The 23,484-nt window shown below is 35.0% G+C and overlaps 1 protein-coding gene across 7 annotated transcripts in view; it reads left to right on the top strand.

Moving 5' to 3' along the window:
• Positions 1-23,484, top strand: part of PCMTD1 (protein-L-isoaspartate (D-aspartate) O-methyltransferase domain containing 1) — an 81,612-nt gene that overhangs the window by 45,643 nt on the left and 12,485 nt on the right. For 5 of the 7 annotated variants that reach the window (XM_047421325.1, NM_052937.4, XM_047421323.1 and 2 more), the window contains 3 exons: positions 7,781-7,883; positions 19,855-20,026; positions 21,977-22,100. In XM_047421325.1, coding sequence (XP_047277281.1) covers positions 19,973-20,026; positions 21,977-22,100 — 178 coding nt within the window. In that variant the 5' untranslated portion in view covers positions 7,781-7,883; positions 19,855-19,972. Of the gene's footprint in view, positions 1-7,780; positions 7,884-13,905; positions 14,098-19,854; positions 20,027-21,976; positions 22,101-23,484 lie in introns of all 7 variants that reach the window. The other 2 variants (NM_001286783.2, NM_001286782.1) reach the window with 2 other exon arrangements.

The following is a 23,484-nucleotide window of genomic DNA, read 5'->3' as shown; positions in this document are numbered from 1 at the left end:
GAACATAACTATTATACAGTAAATAATGACAATTGACTGCGTGTTACTTTGAGAAAAGTACTAAACCTTTCTGAATTTGTTTCCTTAAGTGTAAAATTTGTGAATCTCTATCTCCCTGTGTAGGAGCTGGCACCTACAGAATTGTCTTTGTTTTTCTATGACAAAGTCTTCCCTAGGCTGAGTTGGATATTGGACTGAATGCGTCAGGTTAGAGCCAGAGGTTGACTGGAGTTGGCAGGGCTGCTTGGTCTGCTGGAGTTCTTGGTCTCGTCTGGAACCTGCCTTCACATTCTCTCTGGGTTTGGCTCTTGCAGGGTCAGTCCATCTACCCTCCTACACCCTTGCCAAAAATTGTTTCCTTGGATTTCACATCTCTGTGTGTTACGTTTATAAATACTTTGTCCTTTTTTGGGAATGAACAACTTTGGCTTTATCCTGTAGTGAAGGGTGAATCTTTCGTCTTTCTTCAAGTAACATCCACATGCAAAGGATTCATAGATTTCTGCCTCCAAGGTCCGGCAGCTGAGCTCTGGACACTCTTGATCTTCCAAGCTGCACTCCAATCTGGGTTCTTAAACATGTGGTGCCTGCATCCTGTTTCTTCTCCAGTGTACAAAAGATTCCAGAAGTGAGGCCTGTCCCCAACAATTCTTTTCCTGCCCTCTTCCACACGTGACAAAAAGTTTAACAAATTCTCTTCTTTCTCCTCTGTTTCCTTTCTTAGTGAAGAGTACTTTTTTCTTCTAAATTACATAATGCAGAAACTTGAGTACCAGTCTCTCCTCTTTAATTTTATTTTCTGGAGTAGGTAACATAATCACAGGGCTGAAAATTCAAAAGTATCAAAAGGCATACTTTGAAATATTTTCCTTCTCTTCCTCTCCTATATTTTACCTCGTTGCCTCCCCACTTTGACGATAACTTTATAGAGCTCTGAGGACACTGTGATTTTTGCAAATACATACCGCTTTATAGGGATGATAGTTGGCTTGGAGTCAGAAGCAAATTTAGGAATAAAAGGAAAATGTTTGTTGAATTTTGACAGATTTCTATCAAGCAGCTAAAATTAATAAGAAATTAATTTTGAATGGAATGTACTTAATAACATTTACTTCTGTGGTATGCATCATTCCCTACCATCAGATAATATAGATTTAACATAATTTTTGGTCAGGCACTATTTTAAAAATCAAGACATGAAAAATATTTTTATGCTTTGTGGATATCATTTGTTTCAGTCTTCGTTGTGAACCTTTTAAATTTGAGACTGTAGCTACATTTGTGTACTTTATCATTCTTTAAAGAAGTATTATGTTAGACCCTGTGCCAGCTGCTGAGGATATGGAAGTGTTCAAGACACATCTCCTACCCTTGAAATTGTGCATGATGCTTCTGAACTAGCAATAAAAGTGTGGTGTTAATCTTATTGGCTGTTCTTCATTTAGTCTAGTAAATATTTATTGAGTATTTATGTGAATCTATCACCATGCTGGTCCCAAGTGTCTTCAAGTACTTCACAAATAGATGTGCAGTGGAATGAAAGAGCTGATGAAAATGTCTTCCAGGGAAAATGATTGCATTAAGAAAAATTTGAGGCTAGGGGTGGTGTCTCATGCCTGTAATCCCAGCACTTTGGGAGGCTGAGGCGGGCGGATCACCTGAGGTCAGGAGTTCGAGACCAGCCTGACCAACATGGAGAAACCCCGTGCCTACTAAAAATACCAGATTAGCCGGGCGTGGTGGCTCATGCCTGTAAGCTACTTGGGAGGCTGAGGCAGGAGAATCACTTGAACCCGGGAGGCGGAGGTTGTGGTGAGCCAAGGTCATGCCATTGCACTCCAGCCTGGGTAATAAGCGCAAAACTCCATCTCAAAAAAAAAAAAAAGAATTTGAGTCAAAATCTGAAGCTGTTTAAATTAGCTTTTGAAACTATTCTGTATTATATATACCTTATTCTCAGCTTATTGAATTTGCTTTGTTAGAAATTTAATCTCTATTTTAATATTCTATTGCGCACATTGAGGTATAGTCATAGGTTGTTCTTGACCTGTTAGTCTTGAATATTAGTACATTGTGTAGAAATATGTAAATGAACTAATCGTGACATCTGTTGTTGATATTTCGACATTTTAGAGATATGGTTTACTTAGGGCCTTGGTTCCATTCTCTGTAACTGTGAAACCAACACTTTGAGATCTTATGTAAACATATTTCTGAGATTCATGTATGATAAAAGAGAGTAGCATTTACATAGCCATTGACTGAGAGGAGCCTGAGGGACTAGAACTTGTTTCTGGCAAATTCCAGGACTTGTTTCATGATGCCTCCCCCAAAACTGGAGAGCAAATAACAAGGTCTGATCTTATTAGCTTCAGAGTGGTCAAGCTAACATGGCAAGACTCAGGACAAATTTGACAGTGTTTGATGTTTTTCCCCATGTGATATAGTTGAATGGGAGAAATAAATTAAATATATCTTAATAAGTGTTCGGAATATATTAGAACAGCTTCTCTTAGTTGTCTAGGTAATAATTACTTAGCCTTTCGCCGATTGCTTTCCTCCTTTTTCCTTTATTCACCTTTGGTCTGTTTTATTTTTGTGCATTATACCACAGGATATTTGTGAAAAGAAAGAGTGAAACCTATTCCTGTCGACTTTTTACCCTTTACTCTCCCTGAATACTTACAAAGTTGCTTATAAATCTTTATAAAGATACCTTATTTTATCTAACTAAAATTAGTAATAAAATATCATTGTAATTTATTGAAAGATCCTTTTATATTTATATTTTGATTCTCATTGACTTTATATTAGTTTCGTAGAAACCTAATGACTGATCCACCTACTCCCCCTTGTGGTGAATATTTAGTTTTAGCCAAAATACTTTTATTGGTAGCTGTTAACTCTTGATGTTACTTTACTATAATGAGAACAGAGATTTGGATAGTCTAAAACAGATTTTAAAAAATAATTCAGATGGGGCTTTATCATAATTAGGAGGGGTGGCTAGTACTGCTCAGCCCCAGTTGCATGTTAGGATTATCTGCAGACCCTGGGTCACGCCCTGAGAGATTCCATTTTATCTGTTTGTGGTAGGACCCAGGCATTTACAGTTTAAATCAAATTAAATTTAATCTACTTTTAAAAATTAAAAATTCCCAGGTTATTCTAGTAGGCAGTCAGGGTTGAGAACCCCTTATGTAGGTTATAATTATGCTTCTATAACTATTTCTGTATATGGGGGGAGAGCACATCATAATTTTTTAACAACAGTTTGTCGATTACATTATAGTGTGCAAAGTTTTACATAATTTAATGCTTTTTCCCAGGGACTACTATTATACAGTGGGAACCGGTCTTACAGTGACTGGTCTTAGATTATACAACAGTTAGGAGGAATTGGGATTGGAAGCCAAGACATCTGACCTTTAATCTACTATCTTTCTCACCACACCAGTATTTTGACCTCAGAGTCCTCAACTGAAATGATGGATCTTGAATTATTTCATCTTCAGAACTTTATGTATTGTGAAGTACTTTTTGCCTGTGGCTATGTTCTGTAAGTTAGCTTTACACAAAATACTAAAGGCACAGTGAACTTCATTCAAATGCAGTGTGGAACTCTCAGGTTTCCTTGGTCTGCCTCAGTCTTCTACTCATCAGCACCACACTGTCAAAATGTTGGACATTACAAGGGGCGAACATAGACATAAATAAAAAATATTGGTATTGCATAGACACTTGATGCCTAAACCTAATAATTATTAACTTTTATGTGCAAGCTTGGGTTCTTGACTAATTGGTAAATGATAAATGAACTAGATTAGATCCAATTATTAGAAAAGCACTCTTAAGAGTGCAATGAATGTGATTTGAAAACTTGAAAGCAGCCTAGATTTTACTATATTTGTTATTGTTATCAATGGGGGTTTGTCAACCTTAAAAATTATTTTTTATGTAAAGATACCTAGGAATTTCTAATAACTGTATTTGTTTTAATAAACTTTGACTTTGCTGTATGTTTCTATGTTCTCTTTAATATTTAGCTATTAAAGGTCAATATTTTCTTTTTTTAAAAAAAAAGTTACAAAAATTAAGCCCTTGTTTCATAGAAACATCTTTACATTGGCGAATACAAAATAACATTGGAATTCAGAGTCAAATTCATGCCTCAGTTGGCCTGTTAATATCATCATCTTTTGGATACCATTTCACTTTTTTCCATTGACAACTTGTACCTATTAGCTATATATTACTTGTTTATTTATTTGAACATTTATGTTTTTTTTAATCTTTCAGTAGCCCATTGTTTTTTAATTGAAAAAGTTATACACGCAAATGGTTAAAACAAATTTTATACAAGAGCATATAATGATAAAAATGTTTCCTTACCACCCTAGATCTCTTAGTCCCCTTTCTCAGAAGCAGCTATGTATGCTTTTTCAGTTTTCTGTTTTATTTTCCTGTTGTTCTATTTAATACAGATACCAAATGTGAGTTGTAATAATCAGCATTGCATTACATTTTTATACACTTAATGCATTCAAGGTGTATATCACATTCTAAATAAATGAGATATTGGTGACATTGCTATTTAAATTCTGCCTTTTATTAATGCATTTTTCTTTTTAATTTACTTTGAACATGTTAGTTACCATTCATATTGTTAAGTAGTGATCATTAAAGATGTGCCTCCATGTCATTGAAAATTAAACAGTTTCATCTATAAAAAATCATAAATGGTGTTTACAATTCAGTATTAATGCATAGCATATTTTGCATGTATATTTATATTGTTTGTCAAATTCTTTACATATTAATGAATTGTCTTTATCTTTCATTATTAAATATCTTGTGTCAAGGTAGTATGAAAAACAAGTTATGTTTAAAAAAATTAAGAAATTTTCTTTAAGCTTATTTGCAAAAGTTGACACTTTGCTTTTAGATAATAAGCAGAAAGCAGGAAAAATAAAACGAAAAAGAGACCAGTGGCGTCTTTAACTGAGAGCCTAGAACTTTGAAATTCAGATTCTTTCTGTTAATAATGCAGTTTGAACTATGGATTAGAAGCCTTGATTACAGATTCTTAACACCTTTGTTATTATATTTATATATTCTGTCTTATAGGAAACATGGAGTGCCAGCAGTATTGACCTTTTTAATTGATCTCGTATCTATGCAGCCCTGGTTTTTCTTTTTTCATAAAAATGTAACTAGATTTTTTTTCTCTCTCTCTCTTCTCTTTTTTTTCTCTTTAAAGACACGGTCTCACTCTGTTGCCCAGCCCGGATTGTAGTGGCAGGAACATAAGAGTCTTATAGGAAACATAAGAGTGCCAGCAATATTAACCTTTTCAATTGAACTCCTATCTATGCAGCCCTGGTTTTTCTTTTTTTATAAACATGTAACCAGATTTTTTTCTTTCTCTTTTTTCTTTCTTTCTTCTTTTAAAACAAACAAAACCACGGTCTCTCTCTGTTGCCCAGCCCAGAGTGCAATGGCAGCAACACAACTAACTCACTGCAGCTTCTACCTCCTGGTCTCAAGCAATCCTCCTGCCTCAGCCTCTCGAGTAGCTGGGATTACAGGCATGCACCACTAAGCCCGGCTACTTTTTTTTTAGTTTATTGTAGAGACGAAGCCTTGCCATGTTGCCCAGGCTGGTCTCGAAGTCCTAGGCTCAAGCAATCCTCCCACCTTGGCCTCCCAAAGTGCTGGGATTATAGGTGTGAGTCACCGTGCCTGGCCCTTGGTTCTTAATGGATAATGAAAATGTAAACATCTCATGTTTTATAGTCAATGGATCACCCTAAAAGGAAGAAAGGGAAATTAGGTTTATGTCATAGGATAGTATTTTTCTTACTATGTACATAATGTTAAGTAAGTGTAGTTTTATTTCATTTTTTTTTCTTTTTTTGAGACAGAGTCTTGCTCTGTCACCCATGCTGGAGTGCAATGGCAAGATCTTGGCTCAGTGCAACCTCCGTCTCCTGAGTTGAAGCAATTCTCAAGCCTCAGCCTCCCAAGAAACTGGGATTACAGGTGTGCACCACCACACCTGACTAATTTTTGTATTTTTAGTAGAGACAGGGTTTTGCCATGTTGGCCAGGATGGTCTCGAACTCCTGGGCTCAAGCCATCTGCCCGCCTTGGCCTCCCAAAGTGCTGGGATTACAGGCATGAGCTACCACATCCTGCCTGTATTTGAATTATTTTAAATGAGGTAAACTATTTGGTTTTTTAAAACATTTTATATGTTGACATCTATGGAAATTCAAATTCTCAGAATATTTACATTTAATATATTGAAAAGTCACTGTGCTTTTCTAAGTTTAATTTTTTGGCTGCTTTATTATTTTGAATATAAAAATTTTAGTTTTACTCAGTTTATCTGGAGTAATAGGAATTACAAGAAGTCATAAATGATTTTGGGCAGACGTTCCAGTTTTCAGTTGAAGGCTAAGAGTTCATAAGGAAGGAAACAAGCAAAAAGTTTGACATTGCTTTAACCAGGACAATTTATAAAATGTAAAAACATTGCAAAGGAAGTTAATTCTGTTGTGGTTTGATGAATCAAGCACCTTTTTATTTATTTTTCCTATTGGAACACATTTTTCAAGTAAAAGCAATGTTTTTATAAAAGTATAGTAGGGGAAGGCATTATCCTTATTGGATTTTGGGTTTAAGATTATATCTGAACATTTTGGTTAAATTTTTATAGTTTGGATATTTCCTAGATGGCAAACCATATTTTACATGTACTGTTTCAACATTCAAACATGACAATTTATGATTGTGATTTTTTGGTTAAAAGTACCTAATGGTCAGTAGAAACAATCCAAATATGCACTGTTGTTTTAGACATTTGGTAGAGGGCACATCCAGTTAAGTATTTCCTAAAGATACTGAAAATAAGACACCTTCCAGGACCAATGTCAAAGTGAAACAAAAATGTTGAGTGGAAAACCTGGTTGGCTGAATTTCAGAAGTTGAAAAGGGACTAACTGTAATTTGTGTGTTATATTCTCATGTGGGTCATGGGGCAGGTTAGTATGTATGTACAGTAGCCTTAGGAGACACTGAGTCCTCGTATTTTCAGGGTGAGGGAAAAGAGCCAGCCCAATAACATCTCTCGGGGCTGGGAAAACTCTCCTCTATTCATTCCCCTTTTCCTGGGAGGTAGTCCGTCCATGGGCATATGCAAAGAGAAAGCCTAAGTGAGAAGTGTAAAAGATGCTGGAGCATGAGAGTCAAGTCCAGCATGCTGCCCAATGGCCACATTCTGCTAGGCACTGGGAGCTCCAAAAGGCATGGAGTGGGGTGGGAATTTAGCCTCTACTGGCTGGGGGTAGCGATGCCCTGAGACATTCATGTAATATCTGTGTTAGCCCATGGTTTTAGGTATTTTGAATTACCAATTTTTTAGCAAATGATAAAATAATAGCAAGTAACTTAAACTTCACTTAGAAATACTATTCTTTTGGCAGTTTTGTCCTGCCAGATAAGCTACTCTCTTGGGAGAACTCTGTAGGTTTCAACCTTATCCCTGGTAGTAGTTTTTGATAGAAAACTCAGGCGAACTTTTTTTTTTCCCCTTTTTTTACATTAAAGCAATGTACGTGGATTTCCATTCAACTTTTAAGTCTGAGGCTAGGAAGTATTTGCATATTTCAAGCCATCTTTAAATACTCCTGTGATGTATAAATGAGCAGAACTTAAAAAAGAGCTCTGTAAGGGCATATTATTAATATTTTTTATAAAAATGCTGCTACGATTGCAGGTCCTTTTGGAATAAATCATGGGATTGAGCTTCATTCAGATGTGGTGGAATATGCCAAGGAAAAACTGGAGAGCTTCATCAAAAATAGTGATAGCTTTGATAAGTAAGTATTCATATCTATAGTTTTGGTTTAAAATCACTTAATAGATACATGCAACATGTCTATTCTTGAACACTATTATTGATCCTGACTGGCTCAATTGAATGCAGCAAAAATCAGTGCACCATAAAATGAGAAAAAGTTAAGATTATTCTGTGGTATAACTTTTACTATATGTAATTCTATAGTAAATTATAAATAATGTGATTTTTTGCTACTACAACTTTATTAGTAATGTTGAATTCATTAAACATTCAGCTATCTTTTCTGGAGATACAGTGTAATAATGCTGTGATTGCAATATTTGTCTGGAACTGGTTTTTTACCTTTTGGATAGTAATTTAGTAGTTCTGTCCTCTTCAGGACATGAGAGGTGGTACCAGTCAGTATACAAAGGACTTTAACATATTCAGCTACTTTGTAATATATCCAGAAGAAATGATCATAGAAATACATTGATATATCTTGTGATAGGATTGTTAATAAGAAATTGGTTTATAAAACCATTGTTTTGAACTCACAATATAACTCCTCTTAGAAGAAACATTGCACGGGCTTTGGTCCTTGGGCTGGCAGGAAAAGTCCATTTGGTGTGTAATCCTAAAATTCTGCATTGCTATAGAGCAAGAGCACTTACGCTGAAATCCATGAGCTCTTTGAAATTGTGTAAAATTTGGAGAGCTTTTACATCTCTCATTTCACTGTGTATCTGATTTTCAAAGAGAAAAAGTGTTAAAAAGGATAGAAAACACAAGCTTAGAACAGTCACTTTAAAGAACAAAGTTTTAGGCAAAAACACTGAGAATTTCAACTCGGCTTGTTGGGAGTTGGCCCTCATTTATATCCAGCCCTTGGCTATGACCATCAACAACTTGAGGGAGGGGGCTACATCAGAACTGAGGGCTTTTCTCTAGAAAGATCTAGATTGAAGGACACCACCAGAGAGAAGAAGCTAAAAAACCTTGTGAATATCTTCAGAGGAATGTTTATTTTCCCCCTCCTGCCTTTGCCCTTCCTCCCCTTCCTGCCTTTGGCCTTCCTCCCCTTCCTCTTGTACTTTTGTTTCATTCCCCTTTGCAATCCCAGTTTGTATTTATCGTCTGGCAAGTGGCATTTGATTGGTTGAAGAACAGAAACCTGATGTAATGGAGCAAAATCCTCAGTACTTAACAGTGAAGGCAAGGTCTTGTGTCTACCTAGGTGTGATTGTAACTGTTAAAAATTGCAGGCAGGCATGGGGCAGTTGGGAAATGCTCAGGTTTTTTTTTACTGTAGTTCAATGAATTTAAGCAAGCCACTTGAATTTTCTGCATTAATTTACTGAGCACCATCCTGTATCTTATTTATGCTTGTCTTTATAAACAACACGTAATGCACATTTTGATTCGTTTTTCAAGGCTTACTGTGTTGGTTCATATCCTAGTTCCAAGAAAAGCACGTTTGGCAGAAATAAAAGTTTTTACTCCAAATTATTTGATAAGAAATTTGGATTCAATTTTAGCATCTTTTTGTGTCTTTATTGTTTCTCTCTGTCTTAAGGATTATAGTGGCATGGTAAGTGCTTAAGATGCAGTCATGAATGTATTTTTATACAATTAGAACTATAGAATTTTGTTCATTTTATTTAATTGCTATTAAGTATTTGTTTTGATCTTGAAACTTCATGTACACAGAAGGGCTTTTTGAGTACATTTGAATTTAGAAAATATAAAAGTATTAGTGAAAGCAAATTTTTAAGGTCTATTTTAAGCTCTGTTATATGTTAGTTATTAATAGATTTCACCTATTAATACATGAAGACACAGATAATTCCATTTTGGGTCATTAATTGAGCAGAACAGACTCAAGGAAGACTCTTGAATCAGTGAAGCAACTCTGTGCAAGTGTCTGTGGAGCTCAAGCTTATTGCTGGCAAGAGGGTATAGTCCTGGGAAACAGGAAAATATGTTGTGATTTGAAGTGTTTCTATGTTGATGTAATTTAAATAATCACAACACAAATAAGTTTGAAGACCACTTATATAAGTATCTCAATTTTTAAAAATTCTCAAATTGTTTTTTTTTTTGTTATTGTAAAATACTCAAATTTCCCTGGCTTATGTTTCTTTAGTTTTATTTTCATTACTGTGTTACCCAGGTTTGTTATTCATAATATGATGAATCGTAAAATACAGTGATATGACTGGTATAAATGTTTCTCTGTAATTTTTAATGGCCTTGTTTTAGTTATTATATGTAGTTGTTTCTAAAGTGTTTGTTACAGCTTATTTTTGAAACAGATTCTTACATTCATGAACTAGTCTTGAAGAAGACAGTTCTGAAAATTTTATTATCCTAATCTTTTCAGTGTACTAAAACATTACTCTTATGTATTGCAGATTATAAAGTAGCTTATATACAAGGAGTAGTAGGTACTAGGGAAATGTTTCATTTTGCATAATGAAACATTTTGCATAATGAGTGGCTGGATTCAATGGTTTTTTTTTTTGTTCCTTTTGTACAGTTTGGTTTCAATGACAAATTATAAAAATGATATTGTTCTTACATGTGTTTTGATTATTTTCAGTTTGTCTTGATGTTTGTGGATAATAGTTAAACTTATTTTCAAGTTTAAAATATTTTACAAACTTGCTATGCAAAGTGGTTTTAAAAATCTCATTTCTAAGCAGTTTTATTTAATTATGTATGGTTCATCAAAATATATGTTAACAAAATATAAGATAACTGAGGAAAATTAATTGCCATTTGTATATTCCTTAGTACCAGATTATCGTTGATTATGTGTAATGGAGAGAGAATAAATAGCTGAAACCTAATATTCTTCCAGTTTTTTTTATGCTGCCGGTTTGGATCTTTTTTAATCAGTCCCCTTTTCAAAAGTATTACCATGTCATGATTTGAATTGCATTTTTAAAGTTTTCTTATATACATATATTTAAGATCATAGTAAACTCCCAAATACAGTAGAGGGGGTAAAATCCATATGCTAATCTGCATTAGAATATATAAAGTTAGATGACCTTTTTAAGAATACAAATATAGGCTGGGTGTGGTGGCTGACACTATAATCATAGCACTTTGGGAGGCCAAGGCGGGCAGATTGCTTGAGTCCAGGAGTTTGAGACCAGTCTGGGCAAAGATGGCAAAACCCTGTCTCTACAAAAAAAAAAAAAATTAGAAAAATTAGCTGGGTATGGTTCCACATACCTGTATTCCCAACTACTTGGGAGGCTGAGGTGGGAGGATGCAGAGGTTGCAGTAAGCCAAGATTGCACTATTGCACTCCAGCCTGAGCAACAGAGTGAGACCCTTTCTCCAAATAAAATACAAACATGTTTTTATGTTGTATAGAGCTTGATTCCTGTGTTTTGAAAGTAGTATTCTTTCTTTAAAAAAAAGTATTGTAAGTACTTTTAAACTTTGTATGTCTTAGTCTTATATCATCAAATGAAATAATGTGGAGAGTACATAGCACTAGATTTACTGTACTGGAGATGGGAGGGAAGGGGGAAGTTTCATGTCTGATGTATTCCGTTGATACATATGGTATTTTAAAATTCACTGAAATTCTCTTATAAAAATGATGTGATTTCAAGGGTCCTCTGAAACATTGGCAAGTTTTTCCCACAAATCCCAGTTAGTAAATCTTTTAGGCTTGCTAAGCTAGATGGTCTCTGTTGCCACCACCTGACTCTGCCTTTGCAGTATAAAACTGGATGCAAATGCCATGAAAATGAACGGGCTTGAGGGTGTTCCAGTAACATTTTATTTACAAAAACACTCTGTTTACGAGCTGTAGTCTGGACTTGGCCTACTGTCTGTAAACAGTTTGCTGACTCCTATTGTACTTTTATACATTCTCTCCTAAACATCCTGTTTTTAGCTAGACAAGTAAAGGCCTTTAGATATCTGGCTTTTGAGAGGAAAGGAGGATATTGGGAAAGTCAAATTATGAGTCAGTATTTGCTCATGTACAGTTAAAAAAATTATCTCCAGCTTTATTAGAAGAGTATGTTAAAGGAGCCTGAAGTATAAACTTTTTACCATGTAAATACTTTCAAAATGAATTATTAGTATAGCATTTATTTATAGCCACACATATGTAATGCATATACATGTATGTATTTGATTTGGCTCCCTGGAATGCATGCTTTGGAGAGGGCCATTTTCTCGTAAAGCATTAATTAGGCCAATAGATCCTATATTCGTCCCCTTTTAGGTGACTTATAGCTGTGACTTTGAAAGTATGACAGTGTCAGTAGCCAAATGAGTATAATGTAGTTTGAATCATTGGAGATTTTCATTCCATATGAATGGAAGACCATTGTCTCTGTATAGTTTGCCATATAAATGAGTCATGATATGAGTAATGAAAACAATAATGAGATGATAAAAAATAATAGCACCTAATATGCATTTGTCTGTTCATTAGTGTTAACCATTCTAAATGTTTTATCCACAGTTCTAGAGACAATATTAATTGGTGTTCACATTTCCCAGATGAGAAAACTGAGGGTTAGAAAAAGAGGCTGTAACCTGAGCCTGGGAGTCTTCTTACTTAGTTCTGTTTGGCTCTTATGATGTAAACGTTGATTTATTCTAATATTTCTTTCCAGCAAGTTACTGCCATCAATGAATTACAGCCTAGCAACTTGTATAGGAAAGTTTCCTAGATAGGAAAGTTGAAGGAGTACTTTTATTTTCATAATTTACTTTTTTCACATTAGAATTAAGGAATGCTGTTAATGCACTTAATTCACTATAGCATTTATATTAAAGAGCATACCTTGTTCATTAATGAGACTTGCCTATGGCATGAATTTTTATTGGGGTCAGGGATGGGTCGGGGAGGCAATTCATTACTCATATTTGGTTGAGGTATAAGTTTTATATGTAGAGTTAGACTTTTGTATTTTAGAAGATTTAGTTGACATGGTCATATCTACTATCCTAATTTTATTTTAAATTATGTGTTCATTTTTCACATATGATTTGCATTTGAAAATTAGATGCTTCTATATTCTGTCATCTTTTATTCACTTCATCTTTATGAGAATTACACTTATTTAAAGGAGTTTTCCTATATATAATTCATTATATATTCAATATTATTCCAAAATATTTCTCAAATATGTGAACATTTTGGTATTCTAATAATGTTTAGAAGTAGTTTTATAACAATTGTTAGAGATTGTAAATATACTTTAAAGTTATGACAGATATGTAAATACATTTTAAAATTATGACAGACATTCAGATGTTGAGACAGAAATCCTTGAAAATAGTTGTCAGGACTATCGGTTATATGTTTTAACCTCTGTTAGAAATGGCATGGGGAAAAATTTCATGGCTTCAAACACATTTTTAGGAGAAGAAATTGTTGAAATACAATTTCAGCAATAAAAGGCTCACCTTTATATGACTTACCTGTCACATTTCCTGTAAACTGTTTGGAGATTGTTTTTGTTACTATGAATTTCTCTGATGCTTTCTTTAATGAACAGTAACTGTATTTACTTGAAACACATTGCTTGGAATAATGCTTGAATTATTCTGAGATGACTTTGATTCATTTGAAATGGAAAACACTTGAAAATGTAAAGGTTTGTTTTTCAAAAAATTGTAATTAAATAGCTTAATTATTGATTGCAAGAGTCCTTGAATGGTATCAGTGTATCTGGAGATCAAGAGTTTAACATTTCCCTTGGTTTTCTTCACAATGGAAAAGTCTGAAGTTTTATTTTGTCTTAATAAAGCAGTCATGGCTCTTAAAACTCAAAATGTGTATTTTGACAAAGTATTTCAAGAAAAAGAAGTTTTTTGATTCATTTGGCAGGTTGTTTTGGATGAGGTGTGAGAACAAGGTAGGATTCTTTTCCACGTCCTTGAAATTTCTCTATTCCACTGGAATAATTGTCTAAAATTTCAATAACAGCATCCTGTGGCACGTGATAAACTAGGTGTGCAAATTGTCAGCCCCACTTCAACAGTGTATTGAAGGGGAATGTTGTTTTTTCTACTCTCAGTCAGCTCCTAGACCTAGACTATCCGTCTAAGAGGGAAGCTACAGGGCAAGGCTAGGTCACCCTGATCTCCTAGCAGCTTATCAAAAGAATTATATGGGCAAGTTGGCAAGGTCCCTGCTGTGAACGAAATCATCTGTCCATCTCAAGATGAAGATATTCCAACATGCACCTATAAAGAAAACCACTGCTAAGGTAAGTGATTAGAATCCTGGTGTTATTTTGGGCAAGTCTTCATGTTCTAAACCGAGATATCTGTGTGCTCTATATTTTTTTCATAAATGATTTTCAGGGTACATTTTATTAAGAGTATGTCAATTACTTTTCCTTATCTGCCTAAGAGAGTCTGAGAATATTCATTGGATTTTCAGGTTTAAATCAATAAATGATTATAAGCTTAGAATGAATGATTTTGTGGTTATTATACACATTTCAGGACTGTTGATTTTTTTTTCCTTCTGTATACATATAACATTTTTGGTAGTGTAATTTAGGAGTGTGGGTCATCTCTATCTTGGAAATTTTGTTTTGAACATTTTTTTTTTCAAAGAATAAAAATGATTGCTACTTTTTATTTTACTTACAAACATAAAATTTTAATGAACTCCTAAATCAAGTATAACAATTAGGGAAGGAACACGCCAACCATTCTTTTACGAGTAATTATAAACACATATTAAGTATCATTTTAGTAGACTTTTTGCCATTTTTTTCCTTCTCAGATTTCATTTATTGTGTCGTTGATATAAAAAGGTAGATTTCAGATTTTCTCTTTCACCATTTTTAACCTATGTGTGTAATTTTATAAATAGTGTAGTATTATTTTGTGATAAACTGAGAACTTTCGTTGAATTTATTGTTCAGTCTTAGAGATTATACAGAAATTGTATTTGTAGTTTAAAATATGTCCTTTACCTCTATAGGTTTATGGAAACTTAGGTAACATACAGTTTTCAGAAGATAGTCAAGGCCTAAGGAGGAAAAATGTTTATTTTTTTCTCTACTTTGGAAGAATCAATAGGAGTTGTAATTTACTGTGTTCGATAACATGGTAGCCACCATCTGTGTCTTGAATCAGTCATCTAGTTATTCACATATATAAATATATATATAAATATCAGTAAACATTTACCTGAATTCTTTTTTTTCTTTGAGACAGGGTCTTGCTGTGTCGCACAGGCTGGAGTGCAGTGGCCATGGTCATAGCTCACCGTAGTTTACAGCTTGTGGGCTCAAGCGATCTTCCCACCTTGGCCTTTGGAGTAGCTGGGACTATAGGCGCGTGCTACCGTGCCTAACTGATTTAAAAAAAAAATTTGTAGAGACAGGGTCTTGCCACATTACCCAGACTGGTCTAGAACTCCTGGGCTCAAGTGATCCTCCTGCCTTGGCCTCCGAAAATGCTGGGATTACAGGAGTGAAGAACCATACCTGGCCTACCTGAAAAATTGTAATCATAGACTTTTGGAAAAAATATTAACTGAAATTTTGGCCACTCTATAACCTGATTGGTATGAATTTGTTTACATGAAATGCTGTATAAAAGTAAGTTATGGGCCGGGTGTGGTGGCTCACGCCTGTAATTCTAGCATTTTGGGAGGCCCAGGCAGGTAGATTGCCGGAGTTCAGGAGTTCAGAACCAGCCTGGGCAACATCTCTACTAGTACAGCCCCATCTCTACTAAAATACAAAAAATTAGCTGATTGTGGTGGTCCACCTCTGTAGTCCCAGCTACTCGGGAGGCTGAGGCACAAGAATTGCTTGAACCCGAGAGGTGGAGGTTGCAGTGAGCTAAGATCGCACCACTGCACTCCAGCCTGGGCAACAAAGCAAGACCCCTTCTCAAAATAAAAATAAATAAATAGATAGATAAGTCATGATATTAGTATCAGAATACAAAACGTCTAAGATTCTTAACAGTGTGCCCAGTCAGAAAAACCTAAGTTCATATTATAAGTACTTTATTGGAAAGTTAATCCATAATCGCTTTACAGATTGAAAAAAAGTGAGAATATGCAGTTTGAGAGCTTTTTTCTTTAACTGATTGTGAAGTTCCATGTATTATGGCTAGAAAAGGTTAAGCCATATTTAAATAATAATCCTTAGGACACTAAAATTGGTAGTGTTACAGTTTTCTTTGTAGTGTGTTTGGCAGATGAGTTCTCTAATATGTTCTAGATTTTTTAGTGCTAACATTTAAAGATATCCTTTTTTGTCCAATTTTATTTATATCTTTCCATTTTTATTTTTAAATTTAGTAATAGTATATCCCTTTTTGAATATTGTCTTAAATTCAAGGAAACTTTCAAATTTGAGTATTCTGGTAAAGGAAATCAATTTAAACATGTTAAAGGAAAGTATGAAGACCCCTTTTGTGTTTGCTAGAAGTGGAGTTGCAATTACTAGAAATTTATTAATTTAGAGATTTGATTTTTCTCTGCAGTTATCCTTTGTATTAATAATTTCCCTTAGATAGAAGTAGTTATACTTGTTCTGCTTTACATTGGAGGGAAAAACATTCATGTTGTTTACTAGAATAATAAGGATGGTTGATTTGAGATCTTCAGAAAGGCCCCCCTGGCCCAAGAAAAACCTGTCATTTAGTTATAGGAGAGTTGATTATTCATTAGAGGTAAGAGTTTGTTTTGTTTTTCCTTTTTTGGCCTGTTGGGAAAAAACTGTATTCTGTAACATGAAGCTCCAGTTATTACAGTAACCAGTTTAACAAAACATAAACCATTGTATTACTACAGAGAAGTACCATAGGTGGCTGGTCACAGTGGCTCATGCCTGGAATCCCAGCATTTTGGGAGGCTGGAGTGGGAGGATCACTTGAGGCCAGGAGTACAAGACAAGCCTGGGCAACACAGCAAGACTCTGTGTCTGTATTTTAAAAATTAAAACAATTAGAAGAAGTACCATAAGCATATGCTTTTTCTGTAACTTTATTTCTAGAAAAGCTTCTCTTCTACTCCTGAGATTTTTAATTTGTCAAATTTGGGTTCATATTCAGCGTTGGTAGGTAGAAAAGTTAAAACATTTATGTTTCTTTTTTTTAATTTAGTTCATTTATTTAATAAATGTATTTTGAGGACTAATAGGTGATGGAGATACAATTAAATTCAGAAGAAATATTCAAAGACAGCAGGAAAATAAATTTTAAAAATGTTTCAAAGGGAAGATTGTGATAAGAAAGTATTAGAAGCAACTCTTTATTAAGTAAAAGGATAGTTATTTAGTATTTTCATTTTAGGTGACTTAAAAAGTATGTATATTTTAATATGCAAATATAAAGAATTAGATATTTTACATTGTTCTAAAAAGTCTCTGAAAACCCATGCGCATTACAGATGATCTAAACTTGAATTAGCCACATTTTAAGGGTTTACTTGTCACAGTGGTTGGTGGCTTTCATCTTGATAGTGCAGCTCTAGATTGTCCTGTCTCATCTTTCAGATCCCAGCTTGCCATTTCTCAGGGAGCCCTTCTCTGATCCCCATGCCTGTCAGTTTCCCTTTAAGAGCATTTATCACAGTTGTAATTTATATTTCAATTAGTAGGATTGTTCGATGTTTGTCTCTTCCATTAGATATAGACACGAGTGTCTCCCATTGTATTCTCAGTCATTGCACAAAGCTAGTGCTCAATAAATAGTATTTGACTGAAGGAAGTGTGCAATTAGTGGTATAAGGTAACTTGCCCAGTGTCACACATTTAATTTTAGAATCACACACTAAATTATTTCTAATTTATTTTGCTGTGATGAACATGTATAAAATACTACTAATTAATGAAAAGTGGTTTTAATTGTAAGTTGTCATTACCTGTAATGGTGATTTCCTTGGCAGTAGTTCTGTAAGCTACCACATATTTTTAACTAGTAGGAAGCTTTTAAAACTGTAAGCATATTTTTTAGTTGATTTAACATGTTTGATAAAGTGGTTTAATAATTCAAAAATTTTTAATTATTTAAATTCCCTAGTCACATTCATCCTGAAAATTATGAGGTTGAAATAAATTATTATAAAATTAAAGCATTTAAAATGAATTTCTGTAAAATTTTTAGATAGACCATACTGAAATAGTCCAACTTATTATTAAAGAATGCTTACTGTGAATTTGATAAGATGATTAAACCATGTGATCTACAGTATCTAATTACTTAAAAGCCAAAAATTATATTTTGGCCATATTTTAAACAATCCGAGATTATGGCATAGTTTTGAATATAAAAGAGAAATTAAATATGATTCTCTAACCTAGGTAAATTCACATTTTGTGTGTGCTGTGCAAGTAGAAAGGATGAGATGCTATTAAAGAATTGAGTAAGATTTCATTGCAAAGCTGATATTTCAACTATATCTTGAAGGGATATCAGGCATTTATTAAGGGTAGAAGGAGAGGGGAAGGATATTTTAAGTTAAGGGAACAGCACATACACAGATACAGGATTTCAAAACACTGTGTGATGGTTCCTGTAAGGAATTAGAAGCAAGTAATTCAGTCTGCCTGCAGAGTAGTACGTTCAGGCTGGGGCAGAGACAGGAAAGGAGTCTAGTAGAAAGACTTGATGGTAGACTCATAAAGATTCCCCCGTAGCACTCCTAGGAGCTTGAACTTATCCTGCGCATTAGAGAGCAGAGGGATGGAAGAGAGCCCTGAAAAATGTGATCAGTGAGGTGACAGTTATAGTAAAAGAAATAATGGGGCATGGACTGCCTTAGCGTGGGGGCATGAAGACAATAGTACAGGGACACCCTTGACCCTTCCCACCCCACCTTTTATACCCTTCCAACAAAAAGACAAGAAATGAAGGGCAGGGCATATATTTTGGTAAATTTTCTTCTTTAGGAAATAGATGTTTATAATGTGTATGTGTTTTAGTGACTCTGAATGGAAACTTATTGTGTAATAAGTCTATTAATTACTAAAGGACAGGGTATATTTTACAGAGTAAAAATGATTGTGATTCAAATCAGTGTTATTTTTAACTGCATGCTAAACCTTTTAATATGAATTATTTCATCCTCAAATAATAGTGTGCTTTTGCTCTATGATCATATTAACTTTATTCAACTTAAAAGTGAAAGGATACGAATTAATTTTAAAAAGATTACCTGTCTTATTAGTGCATTGGGGTTTTAATTACGTTTATATTAGAGCCTGTTTTCAGTTTTATCAAAATTTAAGAAATAAAGTAGAAGTCCAAATAGGATAGTTTGTAAAAGCATAACTCCGTGTACCATGAACCAACACTATTACCAGGAACAAGCAGCCCAGATAAAATACCTTTGAAATCATATCTCTTGTTGCTTAGGGAGATCATCGGGGCCAAAGCAGCAATATGAAAAAAATAGTATTAATTCTGGTCTTTGTCCCATTCAGTGATGTTCCTCAGCCAAAATTTATTAGAAACTCTTCCTAACCTTACTGGTTGCAGGGGTATGTGGTCAGGACACTCGTATCTTTTTTTGATAAAGCTCTCCCACTTTGACCTTCAGCAAAAATGTCAAACTGAGATGAATTCTACACAAACCCTTCTCATTTCTGCTGGCCCCTCACCTTTTTTGGAAAGGACAATGCAAAGTGAAGCCTTTTCTCATTTATTGATCCTTATGATTCTCATTGTTATGTTATTTTGGGGGGTGTCACAATATTGAGGTTGTGATGGACTTTTCATTATATTTACTTCTGAAGACCTAAGTGAGGTTTCAGTGTGGGCAAAAATGTTAATGTTTTGAAAACACATGTCCGTCCTATGTCATTGATAATATAACAATACATTTGATGAGTGCTAAACTTAATAAATATTATATTTAAATAAAGTTTATAATCATTTTATCCTTATAATTAATTTGGGTAACGTCATTATTTCAAAGGACTGGATTATGGTAAATTTTTTAGATCTAATGTTTTGCTTAATTGAATTAAAATGTTTGTTTTTCAATGCAGATTTGAGTTCTGTGAACCTGCATTTGTTGTTGGTAATTGCCTCCAGATAGCTTCTGACAGTCATCAGTATGATCGAATTTATTGTGGAGCTGGAGTGCAGAAAGACCATGAAAACTACATGAAAATATTACTAAAAGTTGGAGGCATATTAGTCATGCCTATAGAGGATCAGGTAACTTCCACTCTCCTTTTCTTTAGTGGCCTAGGAAGCAAGCAAATTTGTTTAAGGTTAAGAAATTTTATTCAGTGAAAGGTATATTGTAACTTTTAAAGAAAAAATTACTTTTCACCAGATTTATCTTATTTGTTTAGAAAAAACTTGAAACATCTTAATTATTTAAACAAAGGAGATAGAGAAAAGATCTCTCTACTATGACTGGAGGTAACTTGGGCTTTCAACTCAGCTCAGCTACTCCCTGTGCCTGGTGTTCAGCAAGCTGCTTCCTCCTTTGTTTTGCTTACCCAGAAGTTGAATGTGATGATCTCTACTAGTTGCTCAGTTTCCCATATTCTTCAGTTCTTTGGACATACTGAAAGGAAATCCTAGCCAGGCATGCTGGCTCACGCCTGTAATCTCAGCGCTTTGGGCGGCTGAGGCAGGCAGATCGCTTGAGCCCAGGAGTTCAAGATCAGTCTGGGCAACATGGCGAAACCCCGTCTCTACAAACAGATACAAAAATTATCCAGGCGTGGTGATGCACCTGTAGTCTCAGCTACTCAGAAGGCTGAGGTGGGAGGATCACTTGAGCCCGGGAGGTTGAGGCTGCAGTGTGCCATGATTGTGCCTCTGTATCCAGCCTGGGTGACAAAGTGAGACCCTGTCTCAGAAAAGAAAATAAATCCTGTTTGTGGTTTGATTTTGAACTACTTAACTTCATTAATAAAACAAGTGAACTAAAAAAATCTTCATTAGTACCGAATAGACTCATTTGAAAATATTCTGCAGCTATTTATGAGCATTATTAAATTTATTTTTTTAGCCTTGGTTTGGAATTATTAGGTATAATGAATAAAATACTAATTTACTCAGAAAATGGGTATACCTTTCAAAAGCAAATTACTTTAAAAAGTTAATAAAAACACATTTAAAAAATATCTCCAATATTCACGTTAACTGAAATCTGAAATGTTTACAATAACCTTGTAGTTGTATAGTAGAGGTAGAGTATCTAAGATGACTGAGACCTAGCATGATAGTTGTGGAGTTTATACATCTTGGGGTTCCCTTAACATCACCATGTGTCATTGGCAGCTCAGTGGATCTCACTATCACCATGTACTGTGCTCTGTAGCAAGTCATTTGTCAGATATTAAAAAGGCAGAGTATATAAATATTCATTTTTAAAAGTTCATGGAAATGTTATTAGAATGCTTCCAGGGCTTAAACTCCCAGTTAAACAATTTGTTTTTTATTTTGTTTTTCTTTAACGATACATTTTCAAATACGTAAAATATGACTTCCTCATCAATATTTTGTTAAACATTTACTCTATACTATTTTACAAACATCAGATGTAATAACGAGCTGCTTTTTGTGATAGAAGTTGAATATACTAATTAAACTTGAACAAGATGTGTATTGAGCTAATATTTTTTTCCCGTGACCAGTGATGGGCATTTGCTGAAATGATAAAACTCCTAGTCTCTTTGTAATTACATTTATTTGTGAAATATCAAGTTGGGGGTCGAATTAGAATCTATATTCCATTAATATCATGGAAGAGCATGAAGTCAACATGTAGTCAAAATATGGTCTTATTACTATAATGCCTTAACCAAATTACTGCACCTGTCTCAGACATGTATTTTGAAAGGCAATGGCATGTATAGATTGTAGTGCTTCTCCTAGACACTGTCAGACCACAGATCTAACATTGCAGACTCACTTGGCCATATTTGAGTATCCCATTTGCGTTAAAACATCTGTATTAACAGCAAATATTTCCATTCCTTTTATATCTTATAGTAAATATTTAAATGGAATTAATTTGGTCACATTTACATTTAAGTGATTGTGTAGCTCTAACTGGCAGTTGTTCCCTTAAAACAAAGTTTTGACTGTAAGGTGACCACATTGTTGGGATTAAGTTGTTCACTTTCTTTCTTTTTTTTCTCTAAATAGTTAACACAGATTATGCGAACTGGACAGAACACTTGGGAAAGTAAAAATATCCTTGCTGTTTCATTTGCTCCACTTGTGCAACCAAGTAAGAATGATAATGGCAAACCAGATTCTGTGGGACTCCGTAAGTAGCTCTTCATATTTTCTGATTGAATTATGACTTATGGTGTTTGGCTTTTATGCTTGGGATTTAAGACTATGTAATTATGAAGAATTAAATACTTATGCAGTAAGATATTTGGTGGATTTATTCAACTTTTTTTTTTTTTTTGGAGACAGTCTTGTTCTGTTGCCCAGGCTCGAGTGCAGTGGTGCCATGTCGGCTCACAGCAACGTCTGCCTCCTGGGTTCAAGCGATTCTTGTGCCTCAGACACCCAAGTAGGTGGGATTACAGGTGTGCACCGCCACGCCTGGCTAATTTTTGTATTTTTAGAAGAGACGCTGTTTCACCATGTTGGCCAGGCTGGCCTCAAACACCTGACCTCGAGTGATCCACCCATCTCAGCCTCCCAAAGTGCTGGGATTATAGGCGTGAGCCACCCGCACTGGGCCTCAATTTTTTTTTTTTTGGTAAAATAAAGCCCTCACCTTGTACCAGACACTGTTAGCTACCTTCATGGAAACATAAGAAGAAGGGGCAGGTCAAACCAAAACCAAATTTATTAATTATAGTTTGTGATGTGGTGGCAAGTTACTGGTTGTGGGAAGGGCATCTACTGTAGGTATGGTGGTAAGGAAGAACTTTCTGCCAAGGCAACATCTAAATTATGACCAGAGTGATATAAAAGAACTTGCCACATCAAGATTTAGTGGCAGCATTTTTTCATACAGAGAGACAATAAATACAAAAGGCTTTAGGCTGAAGAGAACTTTGGTCATTCCCAGATCAGGCATAAGGTCCAGAGTGGTGGAAGCTCATTGGCTGCCTGTGGAGGGTGGATTATCATAGGAAAAAAAGGCAGGCAGGCCAGTCAGGTGGCTTTTCTTACACCCACAGGAGAGTGGATGTTGGTGTGGATAGTGTTGTCTAAAGGCAGAAGAATAGCTGACTCGGGAGTGTGGGTAGAGGGAAAAGAAGAATTCATTTTCCCTTGAGGCTAGCTGAGTGCTGGCATTATTTACTGTTGCCAGGAAGACTGGAAGTGGCATAATTTGGAAATAGGCATAGAAAGGTCTGACATTTTCCTTTCACCGTGTTTGAGTTGTCTGTTACCATACAGACAAATGTCAGGTGGCACGAACCTGCTTCATGAGCAAGTTATAAATGGAGACCCCTCAACATGAACATGGCATTTTAGGCTAGGGTTAGATAGAAATGGATGAGATCATTTAGCGGAGAGTGGAGATAAAGAGGAGATATTGGAGTTGGACCTGAGGTCCACCAATTTAGCGATAAAATGGTGGAAAATGGATTAGCGAAGGAGGGGCCAACAAAGGTGGTGGGGGCAAACTAGGGTCAGGTCCCCAGGGTGTTGAAAACCAAGAAAGAAAAGTTTCAAGGAGGGAG

The sequence above is a fragment of the Homo sapiens genome, chromosome 8 (assembly GCF_000001405.40).
Source record: "Homo sapiens chromosome 8, GRCh38.p14 Primary Assembly".
Classification (NCBI taxonomy): domain Eukaryota; kingdom Metazoa; phylum Chordata; class Mammalia; order Primates; family Hominidae; genus Homo; species Homo sapiens.
The sequence above is the reverse complement of the archived record's forward strand: the minus strand, read 5'-3'. Positions and strand labels throughout refer to the sequence as shown.